Genomic DNA, 12,554 nt, shown 5'->3' with positions numbered 1-12,554 from the left:
ATGGAGATTCCAAAAACATGTTTGAAAACAGACATCAACCCAAGACTGTGTATCACACTGTGTGCCTCCTTCCTGTTTCCTGCAAGTAGTGAAGAGAAAGTATCCAAGTTATTGCAATTGTTGGAGGAAGAGTAAAATAAAGAAATTAGGAAAATCTGTGGGCAAGTGCTGACCTCAAGGACAGGAACAGTAAATGTTAACCTGCAAACTGAATGGGATTGAACAGCAGGGTCTCCGGAGGCAAATCCACCCAGAACGTAAATATGCAGCTAGCTTTCCCACACCAGAGTTTAGGATGCAAGCCTTAGTGCTGAGAACTCGAGAAACATCAATGCAATGGGCAGGCATCCTGTGCTTTCTGGAGTGCCTGTCTACCAGTGCTATCCCAGAGTACAATGCAACGCTTCAGTCATGCTCCCAATCGCATCATTTCCTGGAGCAATTCTTGAGATGTTTAACCCTAAATAGAATCCTTCCCTTCCTTACATGCACCCCAACAAATACACTCCCCTACTTTAATGAAACCATTCTCTGTTGGCTGAAGGCCTGCTTGCTTCTTTTTAAATTATGAAATATTTTTGGACTACAGGAAAAGTATAGGATAACATAAGAATACATGTAAGGAAAACCTGTAGAGCCACCATATAGCTGGAGAAATATATATTTCAGATATCTTCCCGCAGGGTACACACTCACCAATTTGATATTTATCATGCACGGTATGGCATTTATACTTTTGCTATATTTGTACATAGATACAAATGCCATGTAGCATTGTTTCGAGTGTTTTAAAACTTTATTTCGGCTGGGCGCGATCGCTCATGCCTGTAATCCCAGCACTTTGGGAGGCTGAGGCAGGAGGATCACTTGAGGTCAGAAGTTCGAGACCAGCCTGGCCAACAAGGTGAAACTCTGTCTGTACTAAAAATACAAAAATCAGCCAGACATGGTGGCGCATGCTTGTAATCCCAGCTACTTAGGGGGCTGAGGCAGGAGAATAGCTTGAACCCGGGAGGTAGAGGTTGCAGTGAGCCGAGATCGCGCCGTTGCACTCCAGTCTGGGCGACAGAGCAAGACACTGTCTCAAAACATACATATATACATACATAAATAAATAAATAAATAAATAAATCTTTATTTCATTGGTTTTGTCCCACATGTAGCCTTCCACAACTTTTAAACAAGAGATTCTAATTCACTGGTCCCATTAGGGGTTATTCGCCTTGAACCAACTGGCTAGATTGTGGGTAATAGCGAGGGTGATCATCCCGTAGAATTCAAACTCGGATACTTTTAAGAGTGAAGATATCCACTGTTAACAAGTACAGCAGGCATAAATTGGGGCTGTTTGAGGCAAACCAGGACCTATGGTCACCTTGGTGATGGCAGATCAGTTCCTATGTTAATATACGCGATCTGTATGACCGACTAGAAGCCTCTTACGTTGCAACATCTGATAGGGCTCTCGGAAGGAGTTCATTTGTTTGTGCCTCTTTTGGCAGAAAAGTCATTAATGAGAACCTCAGTTTCCTGGTCAGTCAAATAGGGGATTCTGGAAGAGAAGCGGGAGTGTAGCTCTAGCGACCCTCCTGATGCTGCTCTGTTTCAGGCCTGTGTTGTAAAGTGCTCTGAGCGCAAGAAAACACCAGCAGCCCCGCAGAAAGCCACAGCACCCCCCAGAGGACTAGAGTCTCCTCTCTGTGTGTCAGTCCAGCTGTTTCCACAGCAGGGCAGGGACAGTTTGCCCCCTGCAGGACCCCCAAAAGTTGACTGGTCAGGGCTCTCCACTGCTTTTTCACACAGCATCTTAATTGGCCTGTTTCTATGGAAATAAGCTTACTGCTAATCAGGTTTTCTCTCAGCTCCCAACTGGTTACCAACACACCCCTCAGATTTGAAATAGTGCTGAATTAGATGCTTGCTAAGTAAGTAAATAGGAGCCAGAAAGGATATCAGAGGAGTTAATAATTTTGGTTTCCCTTTGAAAAAAAGAAATCAGACACTGAGCTTACTCAACACCTTGAAAAGCAGGGTGCAGAGGTTCAAGGAGAACCTACATGCTCCTGGCTGGGTGAGGCCAGGCTTCCACCTGTGTGCCAGAGCTTCTGGAATGAAGACAGAGCCAGAGAAACACTGAAGTTTTCAGTCACTGCCCCAGCACACGCCCTTCGTGGCTGGCAGGACGAGGGATTCCTCCTGGTTGCTCCCCCTTCCTTCTTCAGAGCAAGGCCAGCACTCGCCTCCCTGGAACAGGGGCCTGTGGTGTGAAGGGGTGCTCTGGGGCTGCACTAAGCATGGCGTTCTCGGCCTGTCTCTGTACTGCCCCCAGGGCTGGCTCAAGTTCGCTGGCAGCTGTGGCTGAAGTCGCAGCATGCCACCCAAGATGCCTTCTTTATTCTGGCTCTGTATTTAGGCATTAGGATGCACAGCCCTTTTATCAAGGGTTCTTCCCCCTCCCAAATTGCAATTGACCAGTTTCATTTCTGCCTGAAATTAAAACACAGAACTTATAAATCCCAAGCTGTCACAGCGTGAATGAAACCCTAGAAATAAATCCAGTCTAATGACAGAGCGATCCGGAGACCTCAGTGGGAAACAAGATACTTTGTTTAATAATTATCAGCCTGCTTTCAGGGCCTGTCTGCTAAAGCAGTGGTGTCAGAAGCTGCACAGAGAAGAAATTTTTCCCCAGATTTCACCCTGGGAAAGACTGAAGCCATTTAAAACCAGACTGGACGCTTTTGATTTACATTTCTGATATTAAATGCAGTGCGGCTGTCTACATTTATGCTACAGGGCATTACTTCAGTGCGAAGAAACAGGGTGGTGGCAGAGATCCAGTTTCCTAATGAACAAGCTTATCTGGAGGAAAACAGCTTTTCACACCGTAACAAACAATGAACACCTCTTAGATAACAAATTCAACGGCAAAAATATAGCATTGTACATGTCACAGTCCTGTAATTTAATGGAGGCACTTGCAGCATTAGTGGTTTACATTAATTTTTAAAATTAATTTTGTTTGGCCCACAGGGAAAATATTTTCATTTTTGTTTCTGATATCCTGCAGCTAATTAACACTGCTTACCGCTGCTCTACAGAGCTATCCATAATTGTCCACTTGGTAGCCAGAGGCCATTTTTAAAAGAAGAATGCTGGAAGAGGGACAGAAGGCAGTTTTTTTTGCTTTCTTCCACAAAGAAAGGCTCGCCCAGAAGGACAGAGTTGCTCGGCAGAGGCCTGAGCCGTGCGGTGCGGGTTTCAGCGGTCATGGTGCCTGGAGGGCAGCCTTGGATGGGCCCAAAAGGCTCTTTCTTCACTCACTGTCCACCACTCCCCTAAAAACAGAAGCTCCCAGAGCTGGGGACTCTAAGCATTACCTGGGAAGTTTCTGTGAAGGTGTAGATTACTAGGCCCCACCTCACACCCATGAATCACTACCTCTGCCTCCGCCCCTCCCATGAAAGAGTTAACGACTGGCTACTTAGAAAACAGGCCCCCTCTCCCTCTGCCTCGAGCAGGGAGATCAGGGAATTCACTGCTAATCACTGCGGTTGTGATTTCTGATTTCAACTGGCAGCAAAGAGAATTGAACTGGGGTCCCCAGAGAGCAGCCAGCTCCACAAGGCAGACCTTGAGCTTGTTAGGCTGTGGTGCTGCCATGCGATTATCAATTTTAAATTAATCTCCCCAGTCTCTTTAAAGTGGTTGCTAAAAATATAATCTCTGGGATATCTTACCGTAAGACTTAACTAAAGGGAAAAATTTGGATAATAATTAAGTGCTTCCCTCCGCCTAAGCTTCCTGTAAAACACTTCTGGAGACTAGGCTAATCCACGGGCAGCAGGAAGACCAGCCAGGGGCGGCCCCAAGGTCTGAGCGAGCTGGTTTATAAGTTACACACTTTCTCTAAATAAAACTTAAACAGGCAATATGCGTTTGGACAAAAGGTTAAAGATACAGTACTACACTGTATTAAAACAAGTCCTTCCCTATTTTTAACCCAAAGAAGTTTGGGGGGAAAAGCCAAAAAAAATTGTCTAGACATACTTTTGCTAAGCTCATGAGGGAGTCGTTACAAACTCACTTTATAGGGACATAATCTAGGTTATATATACAACACATTTTTTTTAAAGGCAGCAACATGGTGGGACAATATGAACAAAAGTGAAAGGAGTTCTTATTTGCAAGAAAAGGGCTCTCTGTAGAAACATCTCTGGCCTTGTAGAAGGCTCAAGTCAAAAGCAGACACATTTTCTAAAAGCTACTAAGAACGATGAAGAGGGAAATGAACAGCAATTCATTAACAAAACTCAGCATTCTACCCACACTTTGCAGCCTTCTGCTAAATGAAAAGATGCTTCTGTACCTTGAATTCTGTGAAGTGGTGAGTCCCAAGCTTCCCCAGAGGGGAAAATACCTGTGGTATTTTTCCTTTCCTTTTCCCCTCACATTCCTATTTCTTTGGGCAACGTGGTGGGAAGGGGTAACTTAAAGCAAGAGCTCTGAACAAATATACATACTCTCCACATGCAGCCATTCAAGTCGGAGAATGCAGGCTGCTAGAGGGTCCAGTGGGAACCCACTCCGTAGGCCTCAGCCTGAAATATGGGATGCTTTGTATACTCAGCTTGACGTGGAAGGAAGGGTTGGGGCTGGGGAGAAGGGAGAGGATGTGGATGGAGGAAAGAGTGCGGGTCTGAAAAGGGCTGAGAAGACAGCCTGTGTGAGGCTTTCATAAAACCACACTGCGTTCTTTTAATGATAACGATAAAGAAAACCCCCAACTTCATAAAATTCCATTAATTCTATAATTTCCTTTCTTCGATAAGAGCAAAGAATAAAACAACTCATTACCTCTACTACCAACTAGATGTTTGACCTTGAAAAACGACTTAACATCTCTGGTTAAAAAAAAAAAAAAAAAAGTGGGTTGGGTAAGACAAGCTCTAAAATTCTGATTTTATTCTTCTGGTTGAAAGAAAACAAAACAAAATGAAACAAAACCTTACTATACATAGACTAAAGCTCAATTTTGGCCCCACCTTTGACTAAATGATGAAAAATTAGAATGGGGAATGGTAAAATAGACATTTTTACTGTGTGAACAATACAAAATGTAAAGGAATTTAGAAACAAGTCAACTACACCACATTAAAAAAATGCCTGAATTAAGATGAAATAAAAGTGATAGCAGAGTCTCTTTTATAGTCAGGGAAGGCTCCCCAAACCTTGGTGAATGGAAACATGGCTTACTAGGAACCAGGTCTGTTCTTGGTTAAGGCTAAGGTTGGATAGGGAGAAGGGGTCAGGTGGGTGAGAGTACTGTGGTGGGTAACAAACAGCATACATTTCCAAAGTGGCGTGTGCATAGTTAGTCTCTGGTTAAGAGCCCAATGAATCTCAACATTTTTTTTTCTTTGAAACAGGTTGGAGGTTGCTCAGGTTGGAATGCAGTGGTGCAATCATAGCCTAGAACTCACTGGCTTAAGCGATCCTCCCACCTCAGCCTCCTGAGTAGCCGGGACTATAGGCACATGCCATCGCACCCGGCTAATTTATTTATTTATTTATTTATTGAGACGGAGTTTCGCTCTTCTTGCCCAGGCTGGAATGCAATGGCGCAATCTCGGCTCACCACAACCTCCGCCTCCCAGTTTCAAGCAATTTTCCTGCCTCAGCCTCCCGAGTAGCTGGGATTACAGGCATGAGCCACCATGCCCGGCAAATTTTTTTGTATTTTTAGTAGAGATGGGGGTTTCACCACGTTGGTCAGGCTGGTCTCGAACTCCCGACCTCAGGTGATCTGCCCGCCTCGGCCTCCCAAAGTACTGGTATTACAAGCGTGAGCCACTACGCCCGGCCTTATTTTAAAATTTTTTTTGAAGCAAAGGAGTCTCACTGGGTTGTCCAGGCTAGCTTCAAACTCCTGGCCTCAAGTGATCCTCCTGTCTTGGCCTCCCAAAGTGCTGGGATTACAGGTATGGGCCACCACACCCAGCCTCAACTATTTTTTTGGTTACAGATTCTATTTGAAAATCTGATGAAAGCCAAGAACCATCTTCTGAGGCAAATGCACAAGCACACAAACAAAACTTTAAATACATTTTCAGCGGACTCCTGGGCTCCTTTAAAGTTCCTCTGCAAATCCTGTCGTATCTGTTAAACACAACGTAAAACTTCCTGTTCTGGGCCTAGACACTGGAACATCTATTTGTTCTTCCATTTGCCTTGAAGGTTTGTAGTGTTCCCATGTTCTCAAGAAAAAATGTCTTTTTCAATTAAAAAATAACCTGACTCTCCCTGCACACCCAAGCAATTCTGCAGGGAGTCTGGTGTGTTCAGCTCAAGAGAAAAAGGTTGACGAACAGAAGACCTGCAGCTGCAGCCCTCATGGCCTGAGCACCTCCAGAGGTGGGGCTTGTATCCTGAGGCTGAATTCGGAACTGTTTTTCCACAGGAGAGAATTCCTACCAGTAAATAAGTCTGTGTCCCCTCCTACTAGAGACTGCCCTCTTTCTGACCTACTTCATCCACCCTTTTGACCTGCCTTCCTTCCTGAAGAACTAATAGGAAACATGGTACCTGGTGAGGGGGAGGACCGGCAGGAAGCAGCCTCCTGGAATGTCAATGATGCTGGGACAAGCACACCTACCCCATTCCCATTCAGCAGGCAGCCACGCTACAGCGCAGGGCACATGTGCATAGCTGAAGGTCAGGATGAAGTCAGACTGGCTTTCAGCCCTGAAACTCCACTGTTTCAGGGTTGCAAGAGTGAAACCGTCTAGTACGTCCACTCTAATTGGCACTGGGCTACTGAATGATAAGAGACGGGAATGTGCTTTGAGGCCCAGTGCACACCACCGAGTCAGTGCTGGTTACGTTCGAAGGCACTGTGTTGTGGAGCCCCAAGTGGCTAAAATGGCTGGCTTCTAGAGGGTCTGTGTCCTGGCCTCGAAGACATCTTAGAGGCTGTCCTGCAAACGTAATCAACTTCACAGCAGCCTGCTTCTCAGAGCAGTTGGTCATCCTCTATCTTCCTGCTTCTTCCAGACTGATTATGAATCATGTTTGAAGTGGAAGGAAATGGTGGCTTAGGGGCAGATTCTCCCCGACTTCCTGCTCCAGCCAATCTCCCAACTAAATGGGTCCAAAAACCTCTCCTCAAGAAAGTGACAAACGAGGCACTAAATCAGAGGAATTGTGAATTCAATCACTTAGCCTGAATGGAGAGAGCCTTACAAGATGAATTCCATCACATTAAATAGCTTGACTCATGTCAGGAGAAAGCAGTCTACAAACCACTGGAAGGAAAGCTTGAAAAGATGGTTTATTAATTGCACCTGCTCTGTCTTATCCCTGGGCAGGGTAGGCTTGAAACCCATGTCTTCAGCATTGAAGGAGATGGAATGGAATGTTCCATGGGTAAATATGTGAACAAGATTGCCAACCTGATTTCTCATGAAATAAAGCAAATAAGGAACAGGGCAGCACCATTTTTTTTATTAGCAAATTAATTGCTTAGAAAAAAGAATCCCATTGTCTCAAGAAAAAAAGTCCTTAAGAGCCAAACTGTTCATCTCAATTTCATTTGAATTATTATTTGAAAGGATTAAGTCTGTTAAAGTGACACTTCTCAGCATTGCATACTGAGATAGCAAAGCTGCCTAACTTGATTTTTCTAAAATGTTCCTCCCTTCATCTTTTTTTTTTTTTTTTTTAGAAAAGAGAATATAAGGCTGGGCATGATGGCTCATGCCTGCAACCTCAACACTTGTGGAGGCCGAGATGGGTGGATTGCTTTAGCTCAGGAGTTTGAGACCAGCCTGGCCAACATGGTGAAACCCTGTTTCTACTAAAAAAACAAAAATTAGCCAGGTGTGGTGGCATGTGCCTGTAATCCCAACTATTCGAGAGGCTGAGGTGGGAGGATCACCTGAACCCTGGGGAGGTTGAGGCTGCAGTGAGCCATGATCGCACCACTGCACCACTCCAACCTGGGCAAAGGAGGGAGACTCTGTTTCTCAAAAAAAAAAAAAGAAAGAAAAAAAAAGAAAGAAAGGAAAGAAGAAAAGAAAAGATAATATAACTTAGGCATCTTAGACCTGTTGGTTTGGCTATAGCTAGCAACATGCTTAACCAAAGAAGGACCCAGGGAAAATGAATTTGCTGGAGAATATGTCTTACCAAAACAGTCTTAATTAAAAAAAACCAAATCATGATAATATGGCTAAGTATAAACAAGAAAAATTTGGGTAGGTCCCAGTATAGAATAGGCCTCGTTCCTCAACTATATCAGAAGTTGGGAAAAATAATGAAGAGGGGGACTGATTCTTGGTTTTGTATTTCACTTTACAGTGAACTCAATGGCAAATCTAGAAGAAGCATATTGTTTTGGTGCTCTAGTTTACTAACGTTTATAGTTGGAAGAAAAATAATTACTTCAGCAAGATGGGGTTACAAAGAGTCCTGGACTTAGAATAAAGACGTGATTTCTAGTGCCACCTCTGTCTCAGGTGATTTCATTGGTCAAAAGGGAGAAACTAGGGACAGAAAATGTGCAGCATGCACACTTCCTTGCCTTCATGCCATGCTCATGGCAGACATCACTAATCGATTTAGCCTTTGATGCCTTCATGGCCCAGAATCTTCAATACAAGCCTCCAGGCAGCCAACTAACAAACCATAGATAGCAGGACAATCGAAACTTATTTGCCATCTCTAGACTAGATGATCTTTAAGGTCCCTTTTAGCTCTAACTTTCTAGGATATCTTCTGCAAATTATTTTCATATTCTACTAGGAATCTACTGAGGACAAAACACATATGGACAAAAGGCCAGGTGCGGTGGCTCACGCCTGTAATCCCAGCACTTTGAGAGGCCGAGGCGGGCAGATCACAAGTTCAGGAGACTGAGACCATCCTAGCTAGCATGGTGAAACCCCGTCTCTACTAAAAATACAAAAAATTAGCCGGGCGTGGTGGCGGGCGCCTGTAGTCCCAGCTACTCAGGAGGCTGAGGCAGGAGAATGGCGTGAACCTGGGAGGCGGAGCTTGCAGTGAGCTGAGATCACGCCACTGCACTCCAGCCTGGGCGACAGAGCAAGACTCCATCTCAAAAAATAAAAAAAAAATAAAGAAAAAAATTAAAAAAAAACCCAATAAAACACATATGAACAAAAATGCTTTATGATGTTGCCACAGTTGGGGAAAAAAACATAGCTTAGTAAATTGTTTTCATGTTTCAGTGATTAGAGAGTCTCCAGACAAAACACATGGTATGTTCTGAAACTAAGAAACTGTTGCCGTAGCTGTGGCTATACATCAACTGCTCATCAACCTTGTTGATCAACCCAAAATGACAATAATCTCAGACAAGCCAATGTCAATTTATCAATTAAGTAGCTAAGACTGGTAACAGGTAATGTTATGTATCACTTACATATTCCCTACACCGAAGGATTTAAGTTACCTTAAAGGACCAAAAGGATAAAGGATTTAAAGTACCTTAAAGGACCAAAAGGATTTAGGGTACCTTTAAAAGATAACAGGGAGGGGGGAGGATTTTTAAAATTATTGGTAGAAAAGAAGGAAAAATAAACCATGTGGGTATGCACAGTGGAGATGGAAATGAAGTCTGCCCATCACTTAACCACTTATTTATAACAGATGGGCCAGGAAGCTGGCTCTAGGCTTCCAGCAGCCACGGTGATGATGGGAAGCTAAGCAGTTGCACAGTTCATGGGGGTTGCAAGATAAAAGGAAAACCAACTCTTCAAAAAAGGCTCAATTATTCGTAACTCTGCAATCAGAGTGTTATTTCTCCCAAGGATCTACATAAGCAAAACAACACATAGCACACTAAATAATATTTTTTTCTACTCATTCATTCAAAAGTCCTGGCATTGGTGTCATAGGGTTATTAGAGCCTCTATCTGCAGAGCATATGGTGCTGTTCTAAACTGGAATACCAGAAAGGCTAACTCTGGTTCTCTGCTGGTTTGTCTTACTCCAGATCCTCTGGAGTAGCATTTCCCAAACTGTGTTCCAAGGGATCTATGAAATGTTCCTAGGTGTTCTGTGGTCAAAGCTGTTTGGTAAACACAGCATAATATTGCCCTCTCCACTGCTTTGCTTAATTTGATCTAATCCAACACTTTTCAAACAAAATCCTTTATCCTAGTGGCGTCTATTAATATATTACGAAAAGACTATTCCAGGAAACATTTCAGAAAATGCCAATCTAGAGAAAAAGGACTGCACTTATTCCTATTTTTGGAATCCTTCTAAAACATTGTTCCTCTAAGTGAAGTTTGGAGAGCTACCTAATGGCAGTGAGTTTGAAAGGCATTTCCTGGAAATTACACAGAAGATGTTGATTCTCGGTTGCTGGTTAGGAGTGGAAGCGTGTGTCTTAGCAGAAAGTCAAGCTGTATGTATGGACAAATCAAGACTCTAAAAGCTCTAAGTCCAACCTTCTAATTGTTTAGGTTCCACAACATCAACCCCAAAATGCAAGTGCTGATATGGGTCAATGAAAATGGAGTCTTCAAGAACAGAGCAAGGGATCACTGTGGAGGGGTGAGACTATCAGTGGGAGGAATGAGAAGTTATAAACACAGCTCAGCAGGGGCAGCAGTTGCTCTGGACCACTCGGATCCCTCTCTTTGACCCCTTTCCTTCTTAGGGAGCGCAGAGGAGGGTGGGCCACTCAGATGGGTCTCTTGTAGGCCTTGAACTTGGGGCAAGAGGGGAAACTGAGGCTCACTCACAGTCCTGCCCAGTGCACTGGTGTTGGTGATTAGGCCAGAATTTGGGACTCAAGTGCAATAAAAAATGTACATCTGCCTAGAGTCTGCTTTGGAAACCTAGGGGGTCAATTAGGGAAATGGATTCCAAGACACAACTTCTCTTGGAAACCCAACTAACAGAAGTCCTCAAATCCATGAAGCACTGACCATAAATAGGAAGAACCACCACCTGCCAACTACCTGGGGACAGCCATGCTACCTTCCAGAAGTAATTACTATGTCCCAATCTGAAATTCAGAAATCAAATATCTACCAAATATCAACAAACCAGACCCTTAATGAGAGGCAGGGCAGAATGATGTGCAAAGCTCGTTGGGTGGTATGTTTGCAGGCAGCGCAACAACCTGATGGTATCTTGCAGCAGGTTATTTCTGAAGTTCCTATGATATGCTCCTAATGGGTATAAGGATGTGCTGACTTCCAAAGTGGGACTGACAGGCCCGCAGTTAACTGTCATTCCCATCACAGACTTAATAGCTTTGCCAGGCATCCTCCCAGCAAACGAAGAGAAGAAAGGTCTTGCTATATGACAGCATTCAAAAAGAATGCATGTGAATGCCATTATGGTATTGAAAGTGTCAGGTGCCAGCAGAAGGGCCCTGATCAGACAGACAAGCATTGGGGCTGCATGCTTTAAGGTTATTTGAAGCCTGTCATTCCCATTAGCTAGCTAACCACAAGTGGAATCATTCGTTAGCTGGCTTTCTTTAGCACCAAGGTGGGGCTGAGGGTGGGGGTGGAGGTGGGAGAAGGTGGAGAGGCCTGGGCTTGGCACTTTTAGTTCCTACCCTATTAGCAACTCATGATGGCTGGCAAAGGAAGGGGGTGCACACAGGCAGGGGTGCCCCATGTGCCTGCTCATTAGTGGCTGGCAGTAAAGCACAGAAACGAGTGGACATTGGCACAGGCTGGCTTTCTGTTCCTGGAGAAGGCCAAAAATAATCTCAGTAGATTTAATTAAAACTGCAGTGAACAGATGGGGAAGATGGAAAGAACTCCAACTGGAGACCACTCATCTGTCTAGGTCTCTGCGAGCGTTTTAATAAAGCCTTCGCTGTCTGCAGGTCCCAGTCCTGACACATCCCTTTCTGGTTATGCAACCGAGCGGAACGATTACCCAGCAACTCCACTTAAAGCGGCAGGGGCCTGTTTCCCAAGGAAAAGGATGGCTTGACTCAATCCAACTACTCCTACAGTAAGGCAACAAGCCTACAAATGAACAACCTCTCTGTCCTATCTTGATCTAATCCTAAAGCGAGAACAGGTAATCAGGTGCTCAGTGAAGTTCTCCTCCTACAGAGGGCTAGTGGTGGTGGCCATGAGGGGGTCGGGGAGAAGGGAATCCAGTAGCCGTCTTGTGATTTAAACCTCTAGGTCCAGCTAAAACAAAGCAGTCCTGTTCAAATTGGGCCAGTGGTCTGCCCTAGTTAGTGGCTCCTTTCACAGTTTTCTACAGTGCAGCAAGCCAAGGGAGAATGGCAGGAGACAGTCCTAATTCACCATGAAAGTTGAAACCCAGCCTGTGTTAAAGTTAAAACCCAGCATGCATGCACTCTTTCCTGATTGACTGATTTTAATGGAAAAGCCCAAACTTCTGGTGCTAAGAGCAAAACAGGAGTTCAAACGTTGCTTGTACTATGTAGGCCAAAGTACAGAGAGGGCCAAATCTGCTTGTAAATAAACTTGGCACAATGAAGATGGCTTCTGAAGCTATGTGGAAGTTTGCAATCATCAAGGGCAAGG

The 12,554-nt window shown here is 44.3% G+C and overlaps 1 protein-coding gene across 25 annotated transcripts in view; it reads right to left on the bottom strand.

The window, feature by feature from the left end:
• Nucleotides 1-12,554, bottom strand: part of AUTS2 (activator of transcription and developmental regulator AUTS2) — a 1,195,032-nt gene that overhangs the window by 206,541 nt on the left and 975,937 nt on the right. The gene's annotated exons all lie outside the window — the stretch shown is intronic.

Source organism: Homo sapiens, chromosome 7, assembly GCF_000001405.40.
Source record: "Homo sapiens chromosome 7, GRCh38.p14 Primary Assembly".
NCBI lineage: Eukaryota > Metazoa > Chordata > Mammalia > Primates > Hominidae > Homo > Homo sapiens.
Note: the sequence above shows the minus strand (reverse complement) of the source record. Positions and strands in the feature narration are given on the sequence as shown.